We start from the raw sequence: 25,317 nt of genomic DNA on the forward strand, positions 1-25,317 counted from the left end.
CGCCCCCAGGACGCTCCTCCTGACCCTGCCCCCAGGCCCCGCCCCCTCTCTGCCCCCGCGCACTACCCTGGGCCCGCTCCCTTTTCAATCCAGGCCCGGCTTCCGCCCGATCTCCTGGCAACGCTGCGGCCCCGCCCACATCATGACGCCCGAGGAGAACGCGGGTACCAAACTCTTGCTGCAGGGTTTTGAGAGCCGCTTCCTAGTGGCGCGCACACTGCGCTCCTTCCCCTGGCAGGTGGGCGGCGGGGCGAGCGGAGAGGCCCGCGGGGCTCGCGGAGTCCAGGGGCAGACGGGATGGGTCTCCGTGCTGAAACCCCCGGCGCTCCTGCCACGTGAGTTCCTGGGCTCTCCCTGGTCAGGGCCGCGAGACCCGGTCCCCGTCCCTGGGGCCTGGCCAGAGTCGCTCTCACCCATCCTGCCCCGCGAGCTGGCGGCGGAAGCTGGGGGCGTCTCCACAGTCTTGGGGTGCAGACGCGCGCTCGGTGTGGGGTACAGTTCACGATCATTTTCATGACTTTTTAAAGGCAGTAATCGTTCTGGTCACTGGGACACATCTGCCCTCGCCCATTCTAAAAAGTCAGCGCCCTCAGGCCCGCGGGTAACCACCTCCTCCTGAGCGCGGTGACCAGGTCAAAGGCTGTCCCTAGGGCCTCAGTGTTCTCATCTGTATGTCGAGCACTACATAGAATCAGCTCATGCGCTGAGGCTTTCACGCCTGTGATGGAAGAGATAGAGAAGGGGCTGGCCTCTCCTCTCCCTGGGGACCTGCCATTCTCAGCACAGGCACATGTCAGGCAGCAGCCTCCCTTCTGCCAGCAGAGGGGCTTAATGCACCCCGTTCCATTTGTAATTCATGTGCAGTGAGCTCACTGGGATGAGTCAGTTTGGATATATATTCCTCCCTGGGTCTGCCCCATTTTATGGGGTGTTGCTTAATCATTTGCGTTATTCCATTGATATAAAATATTTAGCACTCAGAGATCATTTCTGGTCAGGAGAAATTTATGCATTTTTAACCCAAAATAGAAACCTTCATAAAAGCATCATAGGTCTCCATTCAATATTGACTATAATTGTTCACATGCCCACGCTGAATGCTAACTTGGGCTCACCCTCAACACCCACGAGGTGGGTACTATTATTATCACTCACATTTGACCAGAGGGATTGTTTGATTAGGGTGTAGTAGTTGAGAGTTCAGACCCAGGAGACAGCCTGCCTGCTTCGAATCCTGGCCCAACCCCTGGCCCTGTGTGACCTTGGGCAAGTGACTGCATCTCTCTGTGCTGTTGTTTTCTTATTCATAAAATGGTTGATATAATGATACCTACCTCTTAGGGTTGTTGTCAGCGTTGAGTACAAAAGCCTGTGGATCAGTGCCTGGCTCATGGTAAATGTATGTCGGTGTTAGCTAGTGTTTTTACTCAGTCTCAAAATGTTTAATAAATGCCTTCTGTGAGCCAAGCACCATGGATCAGCAGTACCCATGATAGATGAGGCTCTGCTTGCATGGGAGAGACAGAGAATAAACAAATAAATGAATAAACAAGAAAAGACCAGATGAGAGTGGCTTTAAAGCCAAGAAAACAGGGGAATGGTGAATGGAGCAACTGGGGAGAAGAGTCACCAAAGTCGGGGAATCAGGGAAGCCTTCCCCAAAGAGGTGGCATTTGAACTGGGGCCTGAGTGGTGAAGCAGCCAGCCATGGGAAGGGTTTGGGGAACAGGATATGCAAAGGCCCTGTGGTGGAAACAAGCCAGCTGTGGTTGAGGAAAAACACCAAGGTAGCCAGTGTGGCTGGAGTGGAGTGAGCAGTGTGGGCCAGGGATGAGGGAGAATAGTCCAGAGAGGGGGATTAGCAGCAGGCCTTGTAGGGCCTTTTATGGCATAGAAGGAGCTCTGAAGCAATGAAGTGCCTTGCCATGTGTCACATACCAGCCGAGACAGTCTGCCTAACTCGGGAGCCAAAGCTCACTGCTGGGCTTGAGGCCCCTGTAAGAGGACAATGTAACCCAGGCTGGTATGGGCACATTCTGCATTTCCACTTAAACTCAGATGGCAAGCCCATCAAACCTTGGTGCCATGGCTGCCCTGGTAATTCCTGGCTGACCAGTGTAACCAGGGAGCTGGCCCATGACCTGGGTGGCAGCTGAGTAGCCAGGACTAATGCGACCAAGAGTCAGCCTTCTTCCTGTGACTCATCCAGGTGCACCCTGCGACATCTGAAGGTCAGGCTTTTAGCTGTTGTGGCTTCCACTTCCAACTGGCTCCACGTCCCCAGGGAGGGATCACATAGAGCTTTGCCAACACATTCTATTGCGTGTTTAATGTTCCTGTGAATGGGCCCTTGAGATTTCTCTCTCTCCCATCCACACAGAGCTTAGAGGCAAAGTTAAGAGACTCATCAGATTCTGAGCTGCTGCAGGATATTTTGCAGAAGGTAAGAATCCCAGAGTCCCTGGGACTCATGATCCTGCCTCCTGAATCTCTCCGGAAGACCTGAGAGAAGCAGCAGAGGTGTGCTTGTACCCTTTAAAAACAGCCCTCTTCAAAGAACAAAACCATTGAGTCAGCACTTCAGGAGGGTGTCAGCACCTCCGACAGCTCCTACGGTTTCGTTTTCTATCTAAGACTTAGACAAAGACATCAGAATATACAAAAATCTGCAAGGGGGGGAAATCTAGGGAATGTTTTTTAAACCATCCACAGCAAAAACAGAGATGACAGGTGCAAAACAGCTTCTAGCATTTGGTAGATGCTCAGAGACTTTCTTTTTTGCATTCATGAGGCCTGTCCCGCCCACTCCTGTCTCTTCTAGACCTAAATGGGCCCTTGCTTTGCCCAGGGTGGGGTTTGGACTCAAGTGCATCTGCATGCAAGTGAGAGCCAGGATCACCACGCGGCCCAGCCACAGGCTGACCTTGGCCTTGAGGGCCAAGTGCAGATCACCCTGCATCCTGGGTCTTCACCTTCGAAGGGCCATGAGCCCTTCTGAAAAGACAAAGCAATAGACTCCCTCCCAGAAAGAAGTGCACCAGAATACATTTTCCATACAAACTCAGGGGAGGCAGACATCCTCCACGCCCACCCACCCAGCCCATCCTAGGAGCCCCGGTGAAGAATTCCTGTGCTAGAGGTGAACCAAGATTATCCACGTGGAAAAGATGCAGCCACAGCAGGGAAGACTTTCGGGGCAATACAGTAGGTCAGGGCTTCGAGGATGGAGATACCTGAAGTTATCTCGCACCTTGCTCTGAGTTTCACCCTGAGCCTCACTCTCGTAGGTGGTGAAGCATGAGATGTAGGGAGAGCTGCTTTAAAACCCAGCACAAGGCTGGGTGCACTGGCTCACACCTGTAATCCCAGGTCTTTGGGAGGCTGAGATGGACGGATCACCTAAGGTCAGGAGTTCAAGACCAGCCTAGCCAATATGGCAAAAACCCAGCTCTACTAAAAATAAAAAAATTAGCTGGGCGTGGTGGTGCACGCCTATAGTCCCAGCTACTCCGGAGGCTGAGGCAGGAGAATCGCTTGAACCCAGGAGGTGGAGGCTGCAGTGAGCCAAGATCGGGCCACTGCACTCCAGCCTGGGCAACAGAGCGAGACTCTGTGTCAGAACAAATGAAAAAGCAGCACCAGCATGAAGAGTCTGTGTGTTGCGTGGGGTACTTTGCTGCCCTTGGGCAGAATCTGCATCCCTCCCAGGCAGCAGGCGCTGCGGACCGTCTCCTCCCTCTCCCTCCAGTCTCCTGTTTTCCCGCCGTCCCCCCTCCTGCTGCACCAGTCCCTCTGCCCTCCTTTCCAAGTGCCAGCCCGTGGCCACCTCAGAGCTTGCACAGGCTGTTCCCACTGCCTGGAACTTGCTCATCCTGCACTTGGCTTCTCTCGGCTTTAGCTGGAGTCACCCTGAGCGTCCCCTCCCCTCCATCCTGTCCCCAGGGACACACGCTCCCAGAGAGCAGTTGCTGAGTGGGCCTCCCCGCCTCTTCCATAAAGCCAGATAGTTGGTGACTGTCCTTACTGCAAACCCTGGTTCACACTGGCTCCCCTGGGAGGGAGGTGGTTTGGGCCCACATGCCCTGTGTTCCTGCTCAGAATGGGCGTTAGAAATGCTGCCATAGCCTGTGCCACTGCAGTGGAAGCATCTTTAGGAAACGGCTTATATCTTAAGACAAACTTCAGATGCGTGGGGCCAGAACGCTGTGTCCATCTGCATCTTTGCTGAGGGATCAGGTAGCCTGGAGTTTGCCCTCTGCTGTGTTGGCTTGAAGCTCATAGGAGACTTAAGATGGGCTCTCGAGCAACCAACGTTCTGTCCTTTGCCGTAGACTGTGAGGCATCCTGTGTGTGTGAAGCACCCGCCGTCAGTCAAGTATGCCTGGTGCTTTCTCTCAGAACTCATCAAAAAGGTCAGTTATGGGCAGTGTCCGCCCAGTAGCTGGACAGCATAGCCACCGGCGTGCTGCACACCCCGTCCTTCCCAGGCCCTGGGCCTGCTTTGCAAACCCCGGCATGGCAGGGGCCTCCCCAGGCAACTGGCTGCAGGTGTGTGTGACCCATGGGAGACAGTGCAGGGTGGGAATAAGGGGAGGCCAGCGTCTCTCCCTGAGTCTGCCCTCTGGGGTTTCCACAGCAGCTGCTTCTCTGGGGCCCCAGCTCCTAGCATATGGATTCTCATTCCTACCAGGCTGGACCAGCCCACAGCACTGGAACCATCACCCACACCCTCTGTCCTGCCCACCAAAGGGTTTGGAGTTTCCTGCTCTTGTCCGTCTCTGGGTTGCCCCACGGGCCCCTGTTGGAAGTTTTAGCTCTTGCCATACCTTTGGAACTAGTTCCTCTGGTGAATTCTCCGCATTGATCCTGCTGGAATGAGCTCTTTCCTGACTGATATAGGATGGATTTTATTTTTTACTTATTTATTTATTTATTTATTTATTTTTTTGAGACAGAGTCTCACTGTGTTGCCCAGGCTGGATTACCGTGGCACAATCTCAGCTCACTGAAACCTCTGCCTCCTGGGTTCAAGCAGTTCTCGTGCCTAGCCTGCTAAGAAGCTGGGACTACAGGCACATGCCACCATGTCTGGTTAGTTTTTGTATTTTTAGTAGAGACAGAGTTTCACCATGTTGGCCAGGCTCGTCTCGAACTCCTGACCTCAGGTGATCCGCCTGCCTCGGCCTCCCAAAGTGCTGGGATTACAGGCATGAGCCACCGCACCTGGCCTAGGATGGATTTTAAAGATGGGCCCGAACATGCAGGGTTTGACATGAGGATGTCGAGAGGCCATTCCTTAGTAGGCAGTAGCAGACCTGCTGAGTGAAAGGGCCACACTTTTAACAAATAAACAATCCCCTGCTTCTCCAATACCTGCTTTCTCCCTAGTTCTCCCCAAAAGGGTGCATCTCTGGTCACCAGCAGGTCTGCCCTGTGCCACCACGAGAGGGCAGCAGTCACCCAGTGTACCCTGCTGCTGCCCTGTGAATCCTAGGACTGGGCCAGCTGTGGAGAAGCAGCCTGCTGACAGCCACAGCCTGCAGCATGGGCCGCCCTCACAGTTCTGCCTGGGCTCACTTAAAAGCACCTTTTGTTTTCCTCCTCTCTGTGTTTGATCCAAACACAGAGCTCTCTGTCATGGTCATGTGGCAGCTCTCACGGAATCCTTGTCTCCTGCCCTAGACTACACCTAACCCTACCCTCTGAACACCTCTTGCTGAAGGCCCTCCCATCCACGTTTCCCTACCAAGTGGAATTATTTCTTTTTAGAGACAAGATCTCTGTTGCCCAGGCTGTCCTCAAACTCCTGGGCTCAAGCAGTCCTACCATGTCAGCCTCTGGAGTAGCTGGGGCTATTCAGCACACACCACCACGCCCAACAAAGTGAATATTTTATATGCAAGCTGGCTGGTATCACACCATTCCATCCCAAATCTCCCCTGCAAACTTGGTGAAAATCATCTGGCCATTTTTACAGATTAGAACAAAAGCAAACAAGCTCTCACTCTGTCTGCCCCCAGCACGAGGCTGTCCACACGGAGCCTTTGGATGAGCTGTACGAGGCGCTGGCGGAGACCCTGATGGCCAAGGAGTCCCCCCAGGGCCACCGGAGCTATTTGTTGGTATGAGAAGGGCACCCTCCTCCCCCTCACAGCCCAGATACCCTTCCTGCACAGACAAAGTGAAAACATGGGTGTGGGTTCAAATCCTGACTCACCCATTCTGCAGTCTTAGACATGAGGTCCGTTAACCTTCTTTAGCCTCGGTTTCCCTGTCTGTAAATCAAGCACTTCAACAACAATAACATGTGTTGTGGGGTTGTTGGGCATTTGTCCAATAGGTAACACACACTACCTGCTTCACAAGGACCTGGTGCCCAGTCCTCAAAGAATACTTGACAGGGCCAGGCGCAGTGGCTCAAACCTGTAATCCCAGCACTTTGGGAGGCTGAGGCGGGTGGATCCGAGGTCAGAAGTTCGAGACCAGCCTGGCCAATATGGTGAAACCGTGTCTCTACTAAAAATACAAAAATTGGGCCGGGCATGGTGGCTCATGCCTGTAATCCCAGCACTATGGGAGGCTGAGGCGGGTGGATCACCTGAGGTCAGGAGTTTGAGACCAGCCTGGCCAACATGGTGCAACTCCATCTTTACTAAAAATACAAAAATTAGCGGGGTGTGGCAGTGGGCGCCTGTAATCCCAGCTACTCGGGAGGCTGAGGCAGGAGAATCTCTTGAACCCAGGAGGTGGGGGTTGTAGTGAGCCGAGATTGCGGCATTGCACTCCAGCCTGGGCAACAAGAACGAAACTCTGTCTCAAAAAAAAGTACAAAAATTAGCCGGACATGGTGGCGCATGCCTGTAGTCGCAGCTACTTGGGCAGCTGAGGCAGGAGAATTGCTTGAACCCAGGAGGTGGAGGTTGCAGTGAGCCAAGATCGTGCCACTGATTCCAGCCTGGGTGACAGAGCTCAAAAAAAATAAGATAAAACATAGATACAGAAAACCACAAAGGAAAAACATAGCATATTGAATCATCACAAGGCAGCCACCCCTTCATAGCCACACCCAGCCCCTGGCCACCGCTGACCTTTGCTCCATCACCAGAATTCTGTTGTCTCAGGAATGTTGGATAAATGGAATCCTGTGTGGCCTGAGATGAGTGTCTTTCATGCCGCATGACAACCTTGAGGCCCGTGCAAGCTTTTGGCATGTCAACAGTTAGCTGCTTCTCATTGCTGACTGGCAATTGGTCCTGTCATGGTTTATTTGGCCATGTGGTGGATGGCTATTTGTCTTCTAAGCCACTTGCCTTCTGATTGCTGGACTGACTCTCTCGCCCTCTCTTGGTGCAGCCCTCGGGAGGCTCGGTCACACTCTCCGAAAGCATGGCCATCATCTCCCACAGCACCACGGGTCTGGTCACATGGGATGCCGCCCTCTACATTGCAGAATGGGCCATCGAGAACCCGGCAGCCTTCACTCACAGGTGACCTTGGGGCGCAGGGCAGGGCACCGAGGCGGGCTTACCCTGGTGCAGTCGCAGACACGGTCCCCTTTCCTCTCGCCAGGTCTGTCTTAGAGCTTGGCAGTGGTGCCAGCCTCACAGGCCTGGCCATCTGCAAGATATGCCGCCCCCGGGCATACATCTTCAGCGACTGTCACAGCCGAGTCCTCGAGCAGCTCCAAGGAAATGTCCTTCTCAATGGCCTCTCATTAGAGGCAGACATCACTGCCAACTTAGACAGCCCTAGGGTGACAATGGCCCAGCGCTGGACTGGGACGTAGTGACGGTCCATCAGCGCTCTGCCTTCCAGCTAGATGTTGTCATTGCAGCAGGTAATGCCCAGCCCTGAGCACCCTGTGCAGGCACTGTCCTTGCAGCTCTACCCAGCTCTTGGCTCTGGGAAAAGGGAACAATGGGCGCTGTCAGGCATGGACATGATGGGGCTTCCAGAAGAGTTACTCTGGGCCTCCAGGGTGAAATCAAAGGACGGGGTGCCTCTTAAGGTGACCTTCAAGCCACAGCCCTCTTGTTGGAGTCAGGCATACTCCCATTACAGTCATCACCACATGGCTCTGTCCCAGAGCCATGCCCTGTGTCCTTCAGAGACCACAGGAGGAAAACAACCAGTTCTGGGACGAGGACAGGGCCCTTGAGAGAAGGTGGTGTTTGGCTGGGCCACCAAAAACCCCTCAGCCCTGCCAGCACACTCAGTCCCCTCTCTGGTCGAACAGAGCTCTGCCTGTGGTCCTGGGTCACAGTCCTGAAATCCACAGGTCCAGCGCTGGCCAGGGACAAAGGCCCACCCCTGCAAGCCAGCAGACCAATCAGCAGACACCTGAAACACGAAGTTCACAGCAGGGTCAGGCTTTGTGTCATTTGAAGCCCTCTAGATAGGCCGAGAACCAGAGCTGTTTTTGTAAGGAACACCAGTGAGTCTGGAGATTTTTTTCTTTTGCTTCGGTCTTTTGCAGCTTTCTCTACTAAGGGTTCTCCTTTTTCACCCAAGTAATTGCCTTTCCATCTAATGGCTCAAATGGTCAAAAGGCATCTAATAGTCTCATATGATCGCTGCCTCTCTGGCCTCGCCCTGCTGCTGAGGTCAGCGTGACCTGGAACTGTCCGCTGGTCCCTTTCAGTAACCTGAAGCTTTCACCGTAGATGTGCTGTATTGCCCAGAAGCCATTGTGTCACTGGTCAGGGTCCTGCGGAGGCTGGCTGCCTGCCGGGAGCACCAGCGGGCTTCTGAGGTCTACGTGGCCTTCGCTGTCCGCAATTGAGAGACGTGCCAGCTGTTCACCACCGAGCTAGGTGAGCCCCCACCCCAGCCTGGGCCTGTATGTCCCTGAGCTGTCACTGCAGGACTCCAGTGGAAGTGAAAGAGCTGGGCACCAGGGAAGAGCTAGGATGCCCCACACTCCGACACCATGAGGGGAACTCGGGCAGAGGCCGGTGAGCAGGGTGGGCTCGGGGCATTGGGGGCTTGCAGCAGGAGGAGGGTAGCTCAGCACAGGGAGGGAGGGTCTGAGCCCAGCAGCCCTACTGTGTGCTTCAGAGCAGGGTTCCCTAAGCCCTTGGGCCTCGGTTTCCTCATCTATAAAATGGAGGTGGCAGGAGGGGCAGTCGGGGTCAGGGCTGGACAGAGCTGTGGCCTGCATGACGCTGGAGCACAGGCTGTACAGGCGGATCCTCCACTCCACTGTCTTGAGCACCCAGTTGATGGAAGACGAGCAGGGTGACTATAGAGAAGGGGAACTGGCCCCGTAGTGGGCCACCCACTGTCCTCAGACCTGACATTTGTCAGCCCCCAGCACCTGTGAGGGTGTGCTGTCATTGTCCCATCTCACCGACAAAGACAGTAGGACACACAGAGGCCAAGCGACCCCCGACCCCCTCCCAAAGCCACTGCCCTCCCACACCTGGGCAACAGTGGCCCCAACCCCAGGCCCAGGCCTCCTGCAGGAAGGAAGAGGACTGAATGGAGGGCATGGCAGGCTGAAAGGACGTGGCCTCCTCAAACCCCTTGGTAAAGGGCCTCTGGGGCCACCTGGCAGGGAGGGGCTGGCACACCAGGAAGTAGCCTCCTCCTGGGAGTTAAGCCAGAGCCCAAGTCCTGTCCCCAAGTGGCCTCCAGAGCCACCTTTTCAGAAAAAGTACATCATGCCCATGCCTGTTACCCCTGCTTAAGTCCCCGCCTCCTCCCTGAGCCTCCTGCTGGCCTCTCACCTAGAAGCGGGGGTAGTCCTCGGCCCTCCAGCCAGTGGGTGCAGACCTGGATGTGCTGGAAATGCTTCTGGTGGATGAGGCGGCTGTAATACTCCCTCAGAGGCCCTTTGCCTTCACAGAGAAGAGCAGACACTGCCATGGACCCGTCTCTGTCCCTGCCACATGGCCCCAGGCCCAAGACACTCCCCCTAGGAGGGATCCTTTTCCCAGAAGCTCCACCCCTCGGCAGCTCCAGTCAGGCCCCATCTGGGCCCTTCCAGAAGCAACCCAGGAGCCCCGAGACCTGCAGGGGTGTGTGCACCCTGACCCCTGATGCATAGCCCTGCACCTGCAGCCAGCTGGCCTCGGGCTGCAAACATGGTGGGGTAAGCACTGGCCTGGCACCTGACCACCCACTGGGTGGACCCAGCCTTCTGTCTGTGTTGTGCACAGGGGACACGAGGACTCCCCCTGCCCTGCCGCAGCCCCCAGAGCACATGGTGCGGGTTCCAATCCGCGCCTGCCCTGCCACAGCCTCCAGAGCACATGGCGCGCTTTCCAAACCACTCCTGGGAGCCTAGAGGCCAGAGGAGGGAGGAGAGCAGGACCAGCAGCTGGCCCAGACCCCGCCTCTTCCTACACCACTTCCGCTTTTCTCCCTCCTCACTGAGTCATCTTGAAAGGGCTCAGCAGCAGTAACTGTGGGACAGGGGCTCTTCCATTTGAAAAATTAAAAGAGGCTTGGTTAAGGCACCAATGACATGGCCGGGCACAGTGGTTCATATTTATAATGTCAGCATATTGGGAGGCCAAGGCGGGTGGATCACTTGAGGTCAGGAGTTCAAGACCAGCCTGGCCAACATGGTGAAACCCTGTTTCTACTAAAAATACAAAAATAAGCTGGGTGTGGTGGGCACCTGTAGTCCCAGCTACTCGGGAAGCTGAGGCATGAGAATTGCTTGAATGTGAGAGGCAGAGGTTGCAGTGAGCTGAGATCGCACCACTGCACCCCAGCCTGGGAGACAGAGACTTTGTCTCAAAAAAAAAAAAGACACCAATGACATAACAACAACAGAAAAGATGCTTGGAAACTACTGAAAAAGTAGAAAGCTTGGTATCTACAGATTCACATCTGGGCTCCCTGCCCTGCTGTGAAACCCTCTGAGCCTCAGTTTCCCACGTGTCAAGCAGTATAAGACCCTATGGCAGAGAGCTGCAGTGAGGATTAAGGAGACAAGATCGTGGGAAGCACAGGGTGAAGGCTGCGTGCCCCTCCCCCTCTGCCATCCCCCAGCCAAACAGACACCCAGGGTCCCAGGCAGTACCTGTTATCACACAGACAAGAGAAGGAAGGTTGCGTCCGTGAAGAGTCAGTTGTTCAAACTCTGTGTTTAAAAAAAGAAGCAATTCTACATGGAATTTCTGATAGAATTTTTTTTTTTTTTTTTTCCTGACAGACTCTCGCTCTGTCACCCAGGCTGGAATGCAATGGCGTGATCTCAGCTCACTGCAACCTCTGCCTCCCAGGTTGAAGTAATTCTAGTGCGTCAGCCTCCCAAGTAGCTGGGATTACAGGTGCCCACCACCATACCTAGCTAAGTTTTGTATTTTTAGTAGAGACACTTTTCGCCCTGTTGGCCAGGTTGGTCTCGAACTCCGGACCTCAGGTGATCTGCCTGCCTCGGCCTCCCAGAGTTCTAGGATTACAGGTGTGAGCCACCATGCCCATTCAGAAAAAAATTTTTAAATAAACAATAGCCAGAGTCCCCTGGTCAGGTGGAGAAAGTGCACTGCTCTGGCAGGGAGGCCCCCAGCCTCTGTGAGATACTCTCCTGGAGGGCGCATTTCAGCCTAAGGGCCTGGTCACTCAATGACCCAAATGGGGATTCAGGGAGGCCCACCTCCACCACCCCTACTGTCCCCAGGCTGCCCCACCCAGTAGCCCAGGACAGGAACATGTTGCAGGCCAGGCAAGCAGCTCACAGCTCAGTGGCCCGGACAAGCCCAGAGCTCCTCACCGCAGCCACACACCTACTTTCTAAAGCTGCCAGCAGGATAGAGAAGTCTTCGTCCTCTATGAGAAGAGAATTGAATGTCAGGGGCCTGTTTCTAGACAGCACTCTTCCAGCTCACACACCCTCCCCTTCTCATTGAGACCGTGGCGGGGTGGGGGCATCCAGGACTGGTAGGGGTAAGGAGAACACAGGTTGGCCAGGTGCCCGTCACACCAGCCCCAAGTGCCCCAGGGGTCGTGCAGACCTGTCCAGGTGTGCTGCTGACCAGCAGGGCTGGCCGCTCATGGAGACGCATCACCAGCCCGCTCCCAGCATCCTGCTCCATGAAGGCTGACCGCTCCATGGCTGGGTCCTCAGGTTCTGAGCTGAAGGAGGAGAAAAAAACCCTGTGAGAGGCCACAGAGCAGGCCCAGGACCCAGAACGGGCATCTCCTGCCATGGCAAGGCCTGCAGGCTCCCAACAGTTGGGGTGCCCAGCCGCATCAGCAGCACCAGGCCACCCCTGCCAATCGAGGCATGGGCTTGCTTTCTCTAATATTGTTTCTGGGTGCTAAGGTTACAACAGCAAACAAGACTGACTCATTCCTTTTCTCCACGGGACTTACTGTCTTATCATCCCCTGGACTCAAGATGAGGGTGCTAGGATGCCCTCCCACACCACCCCAGCTTACCCAGGGGCACACCTCAGGGTATGTGGACCTGCACAAAGGTCCCTTCCTTAGCCCCATGAGACACCCCAGGGGACACACAGGTCCACAGATCCTGCCACAGGCCTGGGAACCCATTGGCAGGAGAGTAAGACAGTGCAGGGGTCCACAAACATTTCTTAAGGGGCCAGAGAGTAAATACTTCAGGCTTTGCAGGCCAGACGTTCTCTGTTGCAAAACGCAATTCTGCTATTGTAGCTCAAAGGCGGCTATAGACAACTCAGAAGTTAATGAGTGTGTTGTGTCCCAATGAAACTTGATTTACAAAAGCAGGAGACTGGCCTGTAGCCTTAGTTTGCCAACCCCTGGATGAGTGGGTTCCCAGGTCTGCAGTGAGAAGGGGAGAGGCCAGGGCAGTGGCGAGCAGGAGAGAAGGCAGCTGAGGATGGGAGGCCTACCAGGCCCTGAACAGAGAGTGCGTGCTGCCCACCTTCATGAGGAGCCGGTGCTGCAGGTCCAGAGGTGCCTCTTTAAAGAAAGATGCCAGCTTGTCGTAGACGGTCACAGCCCTGCAATGAAATCATGGCAGGACTATTGCATTAGTCCAGCGTGGAGGCTACTTTCTGCTCAAACCACTCATTTGGGTCCCGTGCCCAACGTCACCCATCCTCAGCAAAACCACCATTATTTCCTTCTGCCTGGTTTCCAGAAAGTTCCCCTAAAGCCCTGAGGAATCACCGAATGAAAGGGGCTTTTTACAAACAGGAAACTTAAGTGGAGTGCCAATACACAACATGGATTGCAGCAGGCTCGGTCTAAGATAAAACCAGACGGTGGACAACAGGCCAGGTAAGACCCACATGGTCTGCACTCCCTGGTTCTGTTATTGTGTGGAGGAATGTCTTAGTCTGTTGCTCCTGTGGGTGTAGCTAAAGCACAAACCAGGAGTCCTCATCCTTAGAAAGCAGTTAGACAGACATCTGAGAACCAATCCCAAACTGCAGCCTTCCACAGAACCTTCTGGAACCTTCTGGAATGCAACTTATTACTGCCAGAGGGTCTTTGATGAGAGTCTACTCTCCACCATTTGTCTTCAGAGAGAATACCCACCTATTCTCTTTCCGTGGAAAGGTAAGTTATTGGAGTTTATGCAGTCTGGTATATTAATTGAGAGCTTTACTTCAAAGAATGTCACGTTTATGGTTCAGTCTCACAGACTGGGTTAAAAAGGCAGTGTTGACTATTAAGTTGTAAATTACTATGATGATCATTATTATTGAAGCAAGCTGTGAGAAATGAGCATTATCTTACAATATCTGCATTTTAGTGAACCTGAAGGAAGAGTGTATTGCTGGAATTACAGAAGCCTGAGAACCACAGGGGAATTCTCACTGCAGGGTATTCAGGGTCAAAAGCTGATTCTATTTTGCATGCTCAATCCTTCGTCAATTTATTTTTATTTCTTTCTTTATTTTTTGAGACAGGGTCTTACTCTGTCGCCCAGGCTGGAAGGCCTTGGTGCAATCTCAGCTCACTGCAACCTCGCCTCCCGGGTTCAAGTGATTCTCCTGCCTCAGCCTCCCACGTGACTGGGATTACAGGTGCTCACCACCATGCCTGGCTGATTCTTGTACTTTTAGTAGAGACGGGGTTTTGCCATGTTGCCCAGGCTGGTCTTGAACTCCTGACCTCAAGTGATCCGCCTGCCTCAGTGCCTAAAGTGCTAGGATTATAGGTGTGAGCCACTGCACCTGGCCTAATTTAACAGAATTTAACTGAGCAAAGAATGATTCACAAATCAGACTCAAAAATTAGACACAGAAACAAAATAGGTTCAGAGCAGCTCTGCGCTGCTGCGTAGTCAGAGAAAATTGATGAAGAGAAAAAGGAAAATGATGTACAGAAAAGGCAGTGAGGTACAGAAGCAGACAGATTGGTTACAGCTCAGCATTTACCTTATTTGAATGTGGTTTGAACAGTTGGCAGCCTGTGATCAGCCAAAACTCTCTGATTGGTATATGAATACGAATATTTCACTACCCATTCTTCTGAGCATCTAGGTGTTTTCTATTCACACATTCATTAGGTGTCAGGTCTGTAAAGCAAAAATAAAATTCTAAGGCCCCCCCAACCATCTGAATAGACTTCCTCCTCAGCCAAGACTGTTTTAAAATTTAACCTGAGAGACTATTTCAGGCATTGCCGGGAAGTCGGGGTCAAATATGCCTCATGATACCTGTCAGGCATTAATATCAACGCAGACTTTAAGTCTGGTAAGAAACATTTTACAATCTCATTTCTAAATGCACTTCTTAAAGTGAGGTATTGTTCACTTGGAATATTCCACTGTGATTTTAAATCATCTTTAGTAAGATTTTGACAGTTTTGTAAGTGTTTGCTGCTTCCAGGGACTCATATTTATCCATGTAAATGTAGGCATAGCTGGAAGGTGGAGTGTATTCAGCTCTTCAGAAATTAAGGGTTTCATTTTACATTGAATCTTGCCTTTGGCTCTCAGATCCCCTTGATCAACTTTGTCAATGATTTTCCCTACTAAGCATGTGAGAAAAAGAAACAAAGGTGACAGAATACAAAAATTCCTGCGAATTTCCAAAAGCCAAAGTTCACACTCCACCGCAATTTTGCCATTTACTGTCAGTTCCTGTCTGACCCAATCAGACACCTGAGGTCTCTAACTGGATCCAGGCTAGTTAATTCTTGGATCCAATCTGATCCTGGACCCAGTCCAGTTTCTGTCACAACTTCTGAATGCAGTTTGGATAAAAAAATTTGCTCAAACAAACTCAGATAGCTCAAATCATAAATCAGCGGGGCTTCAGAATCTGAGAGAGAATTGAGCAGTAATCCCCAGTTGTGAGACAGCAATGGACACAGTGGGCAGGCGAGTACTGAACTCCCTCTGCAAAAATTCTAACAGTGAGAAAATTTAACCATCCCACATCTTGCCTGTACCCTTCAAACTGCCCTTCATTCTTCCTGGGCATGGGCCAAGCTAACTTTGGGAGACATTTAGTTTATAGTTTAAATGATAATAGCTCTTCTCCAAAGCTCAACCACATTTGTAAAGCTGATGAGAGACCGCCAGGGTAAGAGGATGGGAGGAGCCTGATTTCTGCTAAGGTGTAGACATAAATGATTACCTGCCATTATTCTGGAGGTCACAAGACATGGAACTTCCCCAATTACTCCTGCAAATCACATCACTATTGTAGAACCCACGATCAGCCTTTTCGGATGTCTTTTCAGGTTTTTGCTTGTCTGATGACTGATGGCTCCACCCAGACCTGCCAACCACTCCCGCGGCCCCATCCAGAAGTGGCTCAGCGTGCATGAGGACCATCTCCAACATCCCTGTGATTGTACCCCCAACCAACCAGCAGCAAGAACCTATTGCCTAGTCACCTCCCCTCTCTTTCCCCAACTATCATTGAAAAAGTCTGGCTTCCAAATTTTCCGGGAGACTGATTTGGGTAATAATAAAACTCCAGTCTTCTGTTCAGCCAGCTCTGCATGAATTAAGCTCTTTCTCTATTGCAATTTTCCTGTCTTGATAAATTGTCTCTACCTGGGCAGGGGGCAAAATGAACCCATAGGGTGGTTACAGTACCTTGCTGGGTCACTTGATATTCCTGGAGGGTCACGGGAAGCGCTATGTGAATCCCACTTCTGATATTGTAAGATTCTCTCCAGGGCCTGAAAGCTTAAGGGGTTGAGCAACTCCTCCCTTCTCAGGCCCAGCCCCAGGGCGCAAGGCCGCTTGCATCAGCAGCGTGCGTGAGCAGATGCGCCAGCAAGATAGCAAAAGCAGGAAGAGAGCCAGCCGGAAGACAAGTACCTCTGAAGATGGAGAAAGAGGCCATCTGGGTACAACGTTGCAGTTACGTCAGACCAGGACACTTCCTGTTTACAGGAGACTATAAAACCTTTGCCCCATCCTCACTTGGGGCTGACGCCGTTTTAGGCCTCAGCCCGCCAGCACCCAGGCTCTCATTAAAACAGCATGTTGCTCCACACTGTCGTGTTGTCTGTTGGCGCGCTCTCGAGGTTCAAACCGATACAAGAAACTTACAATACCATCTGATAAAAGAAAAACTTTAGACAAATTAAATTTGACAGAGTTTAATTGAGCAAAAAACAACCGGAGAATCAGGTATCCCTAGAACCAGAGTAGGTTCAGAGCAACGCCTAGTTTTTAAAAAAATGTTTAACATTTATGAAAATTCTTCAACTTTAGCCTTCAAAATTTATAATGAATTGTTACTTCAGTTACCATCTTTATAAACTTTGAAGAGGTCTTTACTTTTTAAAATTTACTTATTTATCTTTACATAACATGCTCTTCTGATTTAAGTGTAGCTTTTTACCGTCTCCTGCGTCTTTTGTTTCCACTAAGTTGGTTTTGGTTTCCATTTTTCATGGTGATGACTTTCCTGAAATGTGTGATGACCTCTTGATACGGAAGGCAGAAAGAAATTATTTGGGCGGATAGTGATGGTAAAAGAGTCCTCGACAATGCTTCCCTTCTGACAAAAAGCAGCCCAAGAAATTGTTCTTTTCTAACAAAGAGCAGCCTGAAAAAATCGAGCTGCAAATATAGGTGAGCAAGCTGGAAGCTTCCACGGGTGAATGACGGCAGCTGTCCACGAGGAAAAGGCTACCTGGGGCCAGGCATGTTCAACATGGAGGCTCCATCCTCCCTTTTCTTTGTCACCATGTGTACAGTAAAGAAACAGGCAACATGGCACTCGCCAGGTAGAGAACCATCTGCATAATAAAAGATTAGGGTGGGCAGCCACCTTTTCACACCCAGTAAAATGGCACACCTGGTCCAACCAATCTTTCATGCCATATGTAAAACAGACACCACCTCCTCAAGCTCATCTATAAAACGCTCTGCATTTCACCATGGAAGTGGAAACCCATTCAGGACCCCTCTCTCTGCAGCAGAGAGAGATCTTCTCTTTCTGTCGCCTATTAAACTTCCGCCTTAAGCTCACTCTTGGTGTATCTGTGTCCTAGTTTTCCATGGCCGTGAGACAACAAATCTCGGGTATTTACCCCAGAATATGATGCCGCTTCACTTTGACCATCTATTCATATTTTAGAGAAAAACCTAAACAAACAAGGCTGGGTTTGTTGAAGGCTGGCTTCACAGAAGGCTCACCAGTTAGCCAGCCTTCTTCCTGAGGGACTTGTGATGGTTGTACTCTTCGGCTTCTCCAGAAAGGAGCATGGGAGCAGTCCATGAGAGGCTGAAGACCTGCCATTCAGTGTGTGGATCTTCCCTCATTTCCCATCCTCTCTTCTCCTGGTCTATACTGGGACTGCTATCCCTGAGCTCAGAGCCTTGGGACTGAAACTGTCCTGAGTGTGAACCTCCTGACTCCCATGTGAGTAGCTGGGTGAACGGAATTTGAATCCACTCAGTTTGCAGCCCATTGCCTCATCTGTCTGCTCACAGAATATAGTGGCTTCAAGCTTTGAACCCTGTAGGTGATCTTCAGAGCAAGACAAACCAGTTTCATCAGCTGTGCCTCATACAGGCCACTGGCCTTAACTTCTTCTGTCCTGTTAGGTCAGTCACCCCCATCTGTCCTCTTCCTGTCTTCTAAGGATTTTATTGAAGTCTTTTGTCACCGATGGCTGGGGTCCCCTGCCCCTGGGCGATGGACTGGTACTAGTCAGTGGCCTGTTAGGATCCAGGTGGTCCAGTAGGAGGTGAGCAGCCGGTGAGCAAGTGAAACTTCATCTGTAGTTACAGCCGCTCTTCATTGCTCACATTACTGCCTGAACACTACCTCCCGTCAGATCAGCAGCAGCATTAGATTCGCATAGGAGCACAAACTCTATTGTAAATTACACACGTGAGGGATCTAGGTTGCAAGCTTCTTATGAGAATCTAATGCCTGTGATCTGAGGTGGAGCCGAGGCTGTGATGCTAGCGCTGGGGAGTGGCTGTAAATACAGATTAACATTAGCAGAGAGGATTTACAGCACAGAGACCAAATAAATCAACTGCTTGCAAACTCGTATCAAAACCCTATCAGTGAGTGGGAAGTGACAACCTGCATCTGGTGGCAGGCTTTATAGTGGAAAGTGAGTTGATGTGCTTCAGTTGCACAGTTGTATTTGGTGCCCTTAAAAGTATGTTTAACATGCTGGGAGGCCGAGGTGGGCGGATCACAAGGTCAGGAGTTCAAGACCAGCCTGTCCAACATAGTGAAACCCTGTCTCTACTAAAAATACAAAAAATTTGCTGGGCATGGTAGTGCATGCCTGTAGTCCCAGCTACTCGGGAGGCTGAGGCAGGAGAATCACTTGAACCCGGGAGGCGGAGCTTGCAGTGAGCCGAGATCACGCCATTGCACTCCAGCCTGGGCAACAAGAGCAAGACCCCATCACACACACACACACACACACACACACACACACACACACACACACACACAAAGGGCGTTTGAGACAATTTCAAATCTCCATACGTTCCGGATTAAAGTCAAGGCCGAATATCTTGAAATTGCCACAAAAGCACTGAAAAGCCTGGTTCCATTTCCAACACCCTGTCTTTGTGAAGCAGGATTTTTTGCAGTGATAGCGACCAAAATGAGATTATGTAGACTGGACATAAGCGGCACACTTCGGGTGTCACTGTCTCGCAATATCCCCAGATGGGACCGTCTAGTTGCAAGAAAACAAGTTCAGGGCTCCCAGTTGATTCTACAGTGGGAGAGTTGTGTAATTATTTCATTATATATTGCAATGTAATAATAATAGAAATAAAGTTCACAATAAGTGTAAAGTGCTAGAATCATCCTGAAACCATCTTCTCCTCCCCCACCCTGGTAAGTGGAAAAATTGTCTTCCATGAAACTGGTTCCTGGTGCCAAAAAAGTTGGGGCCCACTGCCTTATGGGATCATCTCCAGTTCTCTTTGCCTCTGTGGATTAATAATATTTTAATTTTGCTATCTCCATTTTAGTGGAGTTTTTGAAATAAAGATGTTAAACATATCTGGTCATTTTATTTTTAATTGGAAGTCCCACATTAACCCCTGTTACCCTTAAAAATGAAGGGCTCAGTTTTCAAATGAAAAAAATTTCTCTCGAGGTCTGTGTCTTCATTGTGCCACTAGAGGGTACTGCGACATCTGCAAGATGAAAGGCCTGGCCAGGGCAGATCTATGTTTTAAAGCCTTTTCTCTCATATGGACAAAAAATACCAGCTTAGATATGGTCATTGTGTTTTTTAGGAACTATTTTTTTTATTATTAGAAGTAGAACACTTTTTAATAATATCTTTGGAGCCTGAACCATGAATTAATATTCTTACAAATATTTACTAGATAGGAAATCTTAGCTGAGTCACTTTACTTTTCTAAGCCTGAATTCTCTCATCTGTAATAAGATAAAATATAATATATGTCATGTTTTGTAGGAGTGAAGTATTTATTACCTCCCTCGTAGGGACACAGAGTGCGTGTACAAAAAAATGCCAAAAATGACAACTTCATTAGAATAAAGATGCTTTTAAGATGATCACTTCAAAGGTCAAGGTAATTTCTGGCACAATTTTGTTTAAAAATAAATTATTGGCTGGGCACGGTGGCTTATGCCTGTAATCCCAGCAGTGTGGGAGGCCGAGGTGGGCGGATCACCTGAGGTCAGGAGTTTGAGACCAGCCTGGCCAATATGGTGAAACCCCATCTCTACTAAAAATAGAAGAATTAGCCGGGCATGGTAGTGTGCGCCTGTAGTCCCAGCTACTCACAGGGAGGCTGAGGCAGGAGAATCACTTGAACCTGGGAGGTGGAGGTTGCAGTGAGCCGAGAACACGCCACTGCACTCCAGCCTGGGTGACAGGGTGAGACTCTGTCTAAAAAAAAAAAAAAAAAAAAAAAATTATTTCTTGTCAGTCTCATGCATATTTCACTTGCATGGTAAAAAATTTTTTAAAAAAATAAGGTGAAATAATGACTACATTTTTTAAAAAATTGAAAATGGTTTTATGTGAATGTGCTCTGGAGTCTGTGAAGTGTTCTATTGTAAATGACTCACGCGAACTTGATCTCTACAAATGGAATAAAATCTTGTACACTCATTAGGTCACACCATAAACATTTCTGGGGGTGTCTGGCCAGGTCACACTAATTTCTCCTTCTATAGGAATTACCTGTGATCCTCAGAGACTACATATGTAACATCTGCATTTTTACCATGAGACAGTCTTAAGGTCTAGCTATTTCATTCTGCCTTAAGTTCCATTAAAACCACAGTATCCTTGAGGTGAAAAAAAAATGAAAGACAAAGAAAGAGAGAGAGAGAGAAATGATGGTATCCTTACAATAAATTCCTTAACCTGCTCACCTTAGCTTAATTTGGATTCTCTTATTTAAAACCAAATGAACTTTAACTAATGCAATAAACTATTAATAATAAATTATTTTAACAGCACCACAATTTCTTTTAGAGATGGAATTGGTTTTGCCTGAGAAAAATACCTTGAAAAGTAGCTTAGAGTTTATGGTAAAATCCCTAAGGAATAACTTGGCAAGAGAGAGAGAACTCCTACAAAAGAAAAGAGTGGGAATTTGAAAGTGGGGAAGGGCAACACAGTTTATGTGTTTGTATGTACTTGGGTTCCACATCTGGAGCAGGGTACAGAACCAGACTAAGTTCCACATCTGGATCTGGAAGGATTGGGCAGTATGAATATGTACATTCATCCCATATATATGGAATTTTGATAGGAGAGTGTGTATATATATATAGATAGATACGAATATAGATATAGATCAATATCTACGAGCTACGCCAATGCAAGAAAAATGAAAGGTGGACCTAGAGATGACCAAAGATTACTATAAACCAACTTCCTCTCCTAAATCTAGAGAGAATTGGGGGGATTTAGAGCTATGACTACACACATGTGGTGTAGACTTAAATCGGTTTTACTTTGATTTCAAAAGATAAGCTACTTCTGACACTGGAATTACACTTCTAGGACAAATTTAAATAAATCAACTTTCTGGTTTGAAAACCTCAGCTGCTGGCTGGGCATGGTGGCTCATGCCTGTAATGCCAGCACTTTGGGAGGCCGAGGCAGGCAGATTACCTAAGGTCAGGAGTTCGAGACCAACCTGGCTAACATGGTGAAACCCTGTTGGGTTTCTACTAAAAATGCAAAAAAAATAGCAGGATGTGGTGGCGGGTGCCTGTAATCCCAGCTACTTGGGAGGCTGAGGCAGGAGAATCACTTGAACCTGGGAGGCAGAGGTTGTAGTGAGCCGAGATCGCGCCATTGCACTCTGGCTTGGGCAACAAGAGTGAAACTCCGTCTCAAACAAAACAAAACAAAACAAAAACAAAAATACCCATCAGCTGCTGATGATTTATAGCCACACCATAATTTCATCTAGTTCAATTTTGTTTCTAAATGCTTCAGTTAAATTTAACTCTTTAGCAATGATCTCACATCTCTATCTAATTGACCAAGCCAACTATCTTCTTTCAGCACATGTTTACTGAGCACCTTCTAGGCACTGAATTTGAGGCTAAATGTTATTTCCATTCATGGATATTAACATCTAGCTGGAGAAATAGACTATCTACTGCAACAACAGTAAGTAATTTCACATTGTGATAAGTGCTGTACAAGAAGCAAATAGGACATATATATGTATATATGTTTTTTTTGAGATGGAGTCTTGCTTTGTCACCCAGGCTGGAGTGCAGTGGCACGAGCTTGGCTCACTGCAACCTCCGCCTCCTGGGTTCCAGCGATTCTCCTGCCTCAGCCTCCCAAGTAGCTGGGATTACAGGTGCCTGCCACCACGACCAGCTGATTTTTGTATTTTTAGTAGAGATGGGGTTTCAGCATGTTGGTCAGGCTGGTCTCGAACTTCTGACTTCAGGTGATCCACCCACCACGGCATCCCAAAGTGCTGGGATTACAGGCATGAGCCACTGCACCCGGCCTAGGATGTAAATTTAAAGAACAGGGCTGGGTGACCTATTTTAAATGGAGTGGTCGAGGAAAACATCTTTGACAAGCACGAGATGAGACCGGGCACAGAAGGAGCATTGCAGATGGAAAGACAGGATGAGTGAAGGCTCTGAGGTGGGAAAGGTCTTGAGATATTTGAAAGCCAGAAGGTCACCTTTCAGAAATGCCCTTCCCCTAAGTCAAAGGGAAAGAGTAATCTGGTGATGAGTTGGGAGGTGAAGCCCTTCCCAGAAATGTTTCCATTCTAATGAGCAATTAGATCACCCCTTTAGGCATGGTAGTAGACACATGCTTTTGTTTTGTTTGTCTATCTTTAAAGCACTGTTTCTGCCAGTCATAAACTTTGCTCTAGACATTTCTTCCTCCCTATGTCTCCTAGAACACAGGGTCAGGCCTGAAAGAGTTGATTTTATGGAAAATTTGATACCTATCTTTTGTACCAAATGGACTTTTATTTGGCTGTATCCTGAAATGCATAAGAAAATTGCTACCACAAAACCATACGCACTTATTCTGCTGAGGTTGCAAGATGAAATATGTTCCAACATGTCCTTATTCCTTTTCTGCTTCCAGAAGCCACATGTGAAAACTGACCTTCTTGTGTTTTAGACACACCTCATATCTCCTGGAAACACTAAACATGCAAACAATCACACCATAGCATTCTCTGTTTTCCACGAGACAGAGAGAAATTACTAGATGCAACTGAAGTCTTTGCTACAAAAGGGAAATTAAAGGGATCCTCTATGTACGACAATAACTCATTTATGGAAAGGATGTTATTTGCCTTTTACAGCAATTTTATAACAGTTGGCTTGCAGAAAAGCAATGACATTAAGAATCTCAAGTTACTAAAAGGAAACCTTATTCTTTGTGTGGGAATGTTATCACCACTTCCTCAATGCCTCGCTGGAATTTTTACTATCTGATATATGGTAGTGGAAAAAGGGCTTTTAGATAGTAATCAAGAATTCTGGGTCTGCTCCAAGATATGTGATTTTAGGCAAGTCTTCATTATTTCTGAGCCTCATTTTTTCCATCCATATAAAGAAAGGCGCAAATTAAATGTTTTCTGAGATTTCCTCCAGTTCTAAATTTGACAATACTATGGAAAAGCAGGGTGAAGCAGTAAATAGAGAGTTAAGATTGGATTCAGCGGAGCTCGTTCTGAGTTTCCTCTTTGATCACTTAGTGGTCATTTGAGAAAGACTCTTAACCTTTCTAACCCCAGTTTCCTCATCTCTAAAACAGACTGGCAAAATTAGTACACAATTTCATTACAGACAATTGAGGTCAAAGGAGATGTCAGCTGTGAAACTTTTCAAACTGTAAAAGGTCAGTATAAATGTGAGTTTTATTACACATTTAATGATGATGATAAAAATTAAAATGAGCAACAGTGATAAGGTTTGGATCTGTGTCCCCATCAAATCTCATGTCAAACGGTAATCCCCAGTGTTAGAGGTGGGGCCTGGTGGGAGGTGACTGGATCATGGGGGTGGACTCCTTATGAATGGCTTACCACCACTCCCCTTGGTACTGTTCTCTTGGAAGTGAGCAAATTCTCATGAGATCTGGTTGTTTAAAAGTGTGTAGCACCTGCCTCCTCGCCCTCTTCCTCCTGCTCTGGCCATGTAAAATGAAACTGCTGCTGCTTTGCCCTCCGCCATGACTGAAAGTTTCCTGAGGCCTCTCCAGCCATGCTTCCTGTACAGCCTGCAGAACCATGAGCAAATTAAATCTCTTTTCTTTATAAATTACCCAGCCTCAGGTATTTCCTTGTAGCAATGCAAGAATGGATTAATACAAATACCAATCAACATTTACTTGTTATTCTAAAGCCTTTGCATATGTGGTCTTTTAATCTTCACAACAATCCTATAGGATAGTATGATTACTATCACCATGTTCCAGAGGAAGAAACCGAGAAACTGAGGAACACTCAGTCACTGGCAAAAAGGCCACACACTTAGTGGCCGGAAGAGCAAAGCAGTTGACTGCAAGTCCCAGCTTGGCTTCTTGATCAGCTCTAATCCTAAAAACCAGATGCAAAGGGACATTATAGACTTGATTTGACCATGGATGCTGATTAGCTCCACTCCTATGGTTTCTTCAGTTATATCCTAAATGGAAAAACATACCCTTTTTTTTTTTGGTAAAGTTATCCCAAATGACTCATCTATTCACAACCCTGCAGCCTGCAGCATAGTATATACTTAAATTTTTCCTAAATGTTATATGCTGAAAGAAATCAGAATGACCGCCAAACAAAGCTCCTATTCAAAGAGATAATTCTGGAGGGAAATGCAGCAAGCTTAGACATACAGCTTCAAAATCTAAGAAAACCAAAAACCAAACTCAAACAAACAAACCAAAAAAACCCAAAAAACCAAAACAAGTGCCCAAGTTGAAGTTTTTGTATGTACATCTTTAACCTCTGTGAAGCCATCCTACTCTCCTCTCTCCTCACCTCTACCCCACTCCAGGGAAGCACTTAGGAAAAAATGTCTGTGTCAATCCAATTCAAGCCTCCTGCACAAAATCTGTGCTAATGACAGGCATGATTCTATGGTAGAATCTCAAAAGCAACACACAACAATTTAATTAGCTCTAAGTCAATAAATCTGCATGAACCCAGCAGGTCAGTAAACCATAAGTCTCTCTAGCAATTATCAACCAAAAGATTATTCATGTAGAACCATGATGCCCAACATTTGACAATACCCAACATGGAACATTTATGATTTTCTAAGACTGACATTCGATGCACCGAAATTAATTCTGCTAGAACCCTTGATTTAGAAAGAAACACATAGATACCACACAGAGGAAAACTCCAGCTGACCAATGGGGAAAGAATAGGCAATTCACAAAATAATTTCAGAGGCATTTTGTTAAGTTTTTTCTCAAAAAAGCAACTGCATG

At 48.7% G+C, this 25,317-nt stretch overlaps 2 pseudogenes across 3 annotated transcripts, besides 7 other annotated features; one reads left to right on the forward strand and one right to left on the reverse strand.

Annotated features, from left to right (window-relative positions):
* FAM86B3P (family with sequence similarity 86 member B3, pseudogene) lies at nucleotides 108-16,403 on the forward strand (annotated as a pseudogene). 3 transcript variants are annotated; one of them, NR_024361.1, is made up of 9 exons: nucleotides 108-238; nucleotides 2,381-2,443; nucleotides 4,332-4,412; nucleotides 6,021-6,122; nucleotides 7,354-7,487; nucleotides 7,570-7,837; nucleotides 8,664-8,813; nucleotides 15,637-15,860; nucleotides 16,123-16,403. The product of NR_024361.1 is annotated as a family with sequence similarity 86 member B3, pseudogene, transcript variant 2 (transcript). The 3 variants fall into 3 exon arrangements; NR_024362.1 differs by lacking the exons at nucleotides 15,637-15,860; nucleotides 16,123-16,403 and adding an exon at nucleotides 9,848-10,464 and having other exon boundaries at nucleotides 108-335; NR_024363.1 differs by lacking the exons at nucleotides 6,021-6,122; nucleotides 7,570-7,837; nucleotides 15,637-15,860; nucleotides 16,123-16,403 and adding an exon at nucleotides 11,165-11,568 and having other exon boundaries at nucleotides 108-335.
* Nucleotides 163-442: a silencer, noted in NCBI's record as "silent region_18892". NCBI's record gives its function as "represses an Ori minimal core promoter by ATAC-STARR-seq in GM12878 lymphoblastoid cells {active_cell/tissue: GM12878}" and the evidence as "EXISTENCE:reporter gene assay evidence [ECO:0000049][PMID:35858748]".
* Nucleotides 4,151-5,056: an enhancer, noted in NCBI's record as "H3K4me1 hESC enhancer chr8:8090135-8091040 (GRCh37/hg19 assembly coordinates)". NCBI's record gives its function as "activates a minimal SCP1, AML or CMV promoter by ChIP-STARR-seq in naive H9 embryonic stem cells {active_cell/tissue: H9 hESC(naive)}" and the evidence as "EXISTENCE:reporter gene assay evidence [ECO:0000049][PMID:30033119]".
* Nucleotides 7,287-7,798: an enhancer, noted in NCBI's record as "H3K4me1 hESC enhancer chr8:8093271-8093782 (GRCh37/hg19 assembly coordinates)". NCBI's record gives its function as "activates a minimal SCP1, AML or CMV promoter by ChIP-STARR-seq in primed H9 embryonic stem cells {active_cell/tissue: H9 hESC(primed)}" and the evidence as "EXISTENCE:reporter gene assay evidence [ECO:0000049][PMID:30033119]".
* ALG1L13P (ALG1 like 13, pseudogene) lies at nucleotides 7,541-16,205 on the reverse strand (annotated as a pseudogene).
* Nucleotides 8,357-8,908: an enhancer, noted in NCBI's record as "H3K4me1 hESC enhancer chr8:8094341-8094892 (GRCh37/hg19 assembly coordinates)". NCBI's record gives its function as "activates a minimal SCP1, AML or CMV promoter by ChIP-STARR-seq in naive H9 embryonic stem cells {active_cell/tissue: H9 hESC(naive)}" and the evidence as "EXISTENCE:reporter gene assay evidence [ECO:0000049][PMID:30033119]".
* Nucleotides 8,909-9,459: an enhancer, noted in NCBI's record as "H3K4me1 hESC enhancer chr8:8094893-8095443 (GRCh37/hg19 assembly coordinates)". NCBI's record gives its function as "activates a minimal SCP1, AML or CMV promoter by ChIP-STARR-seq in naive H9 embryonic stem cells {active_cell/tissue: H9 hESC(naive)}" and the evidence as "EXISTENCE:reporter gene assay evidence [ECO:0000049][PMID:30033119]".
* Nucleotides 9,715-10,044: an enhancer, noted in NCBI's record as "active region_26963". NCBI's record gives its function as "activates an Ori minimal core promoter by ATAC-STARR-seq in GM12878 lymphoblastoid cells {active_cell/tissue: GM12878}" and the evidence as "EXISTENCE:reporter gene assay evidence [ECO:0000049][PMID:35858748]".
* Nucleotides 15,439-16,638: an enhancer, noted in NCBI's record as "BRD4-independent group 4 enhancer chr8:8101423-8102622 (GRCh37/hg19 assembly coordinates)". NCBI's record gives its function as "activates an origin of replication core promoter dependent on BRD2, P300/CBP, MED14 and CDK7 cofactors, and independent of BRD4, by STARR-seq in HCT116 cells {active_cell/tissue: HCT116}" and the evidence as "EXISTENCE:reporter gene assay evidence [ECO:0000049][PMID:35650434]".

This window comes from Homo sapiens, chromosome 8 (assembly GCF_000001405.40).
Source record: "Homo sapiens chromosome 8, GRCh38.p14 Primary Assembly".
NCBI classification, from domain to species: domain Eukaryota; kingdom Metazoa; phylum Chordata; class Mammalia; order Primates; family Hominidae; genus Homo; species Homo sapiens.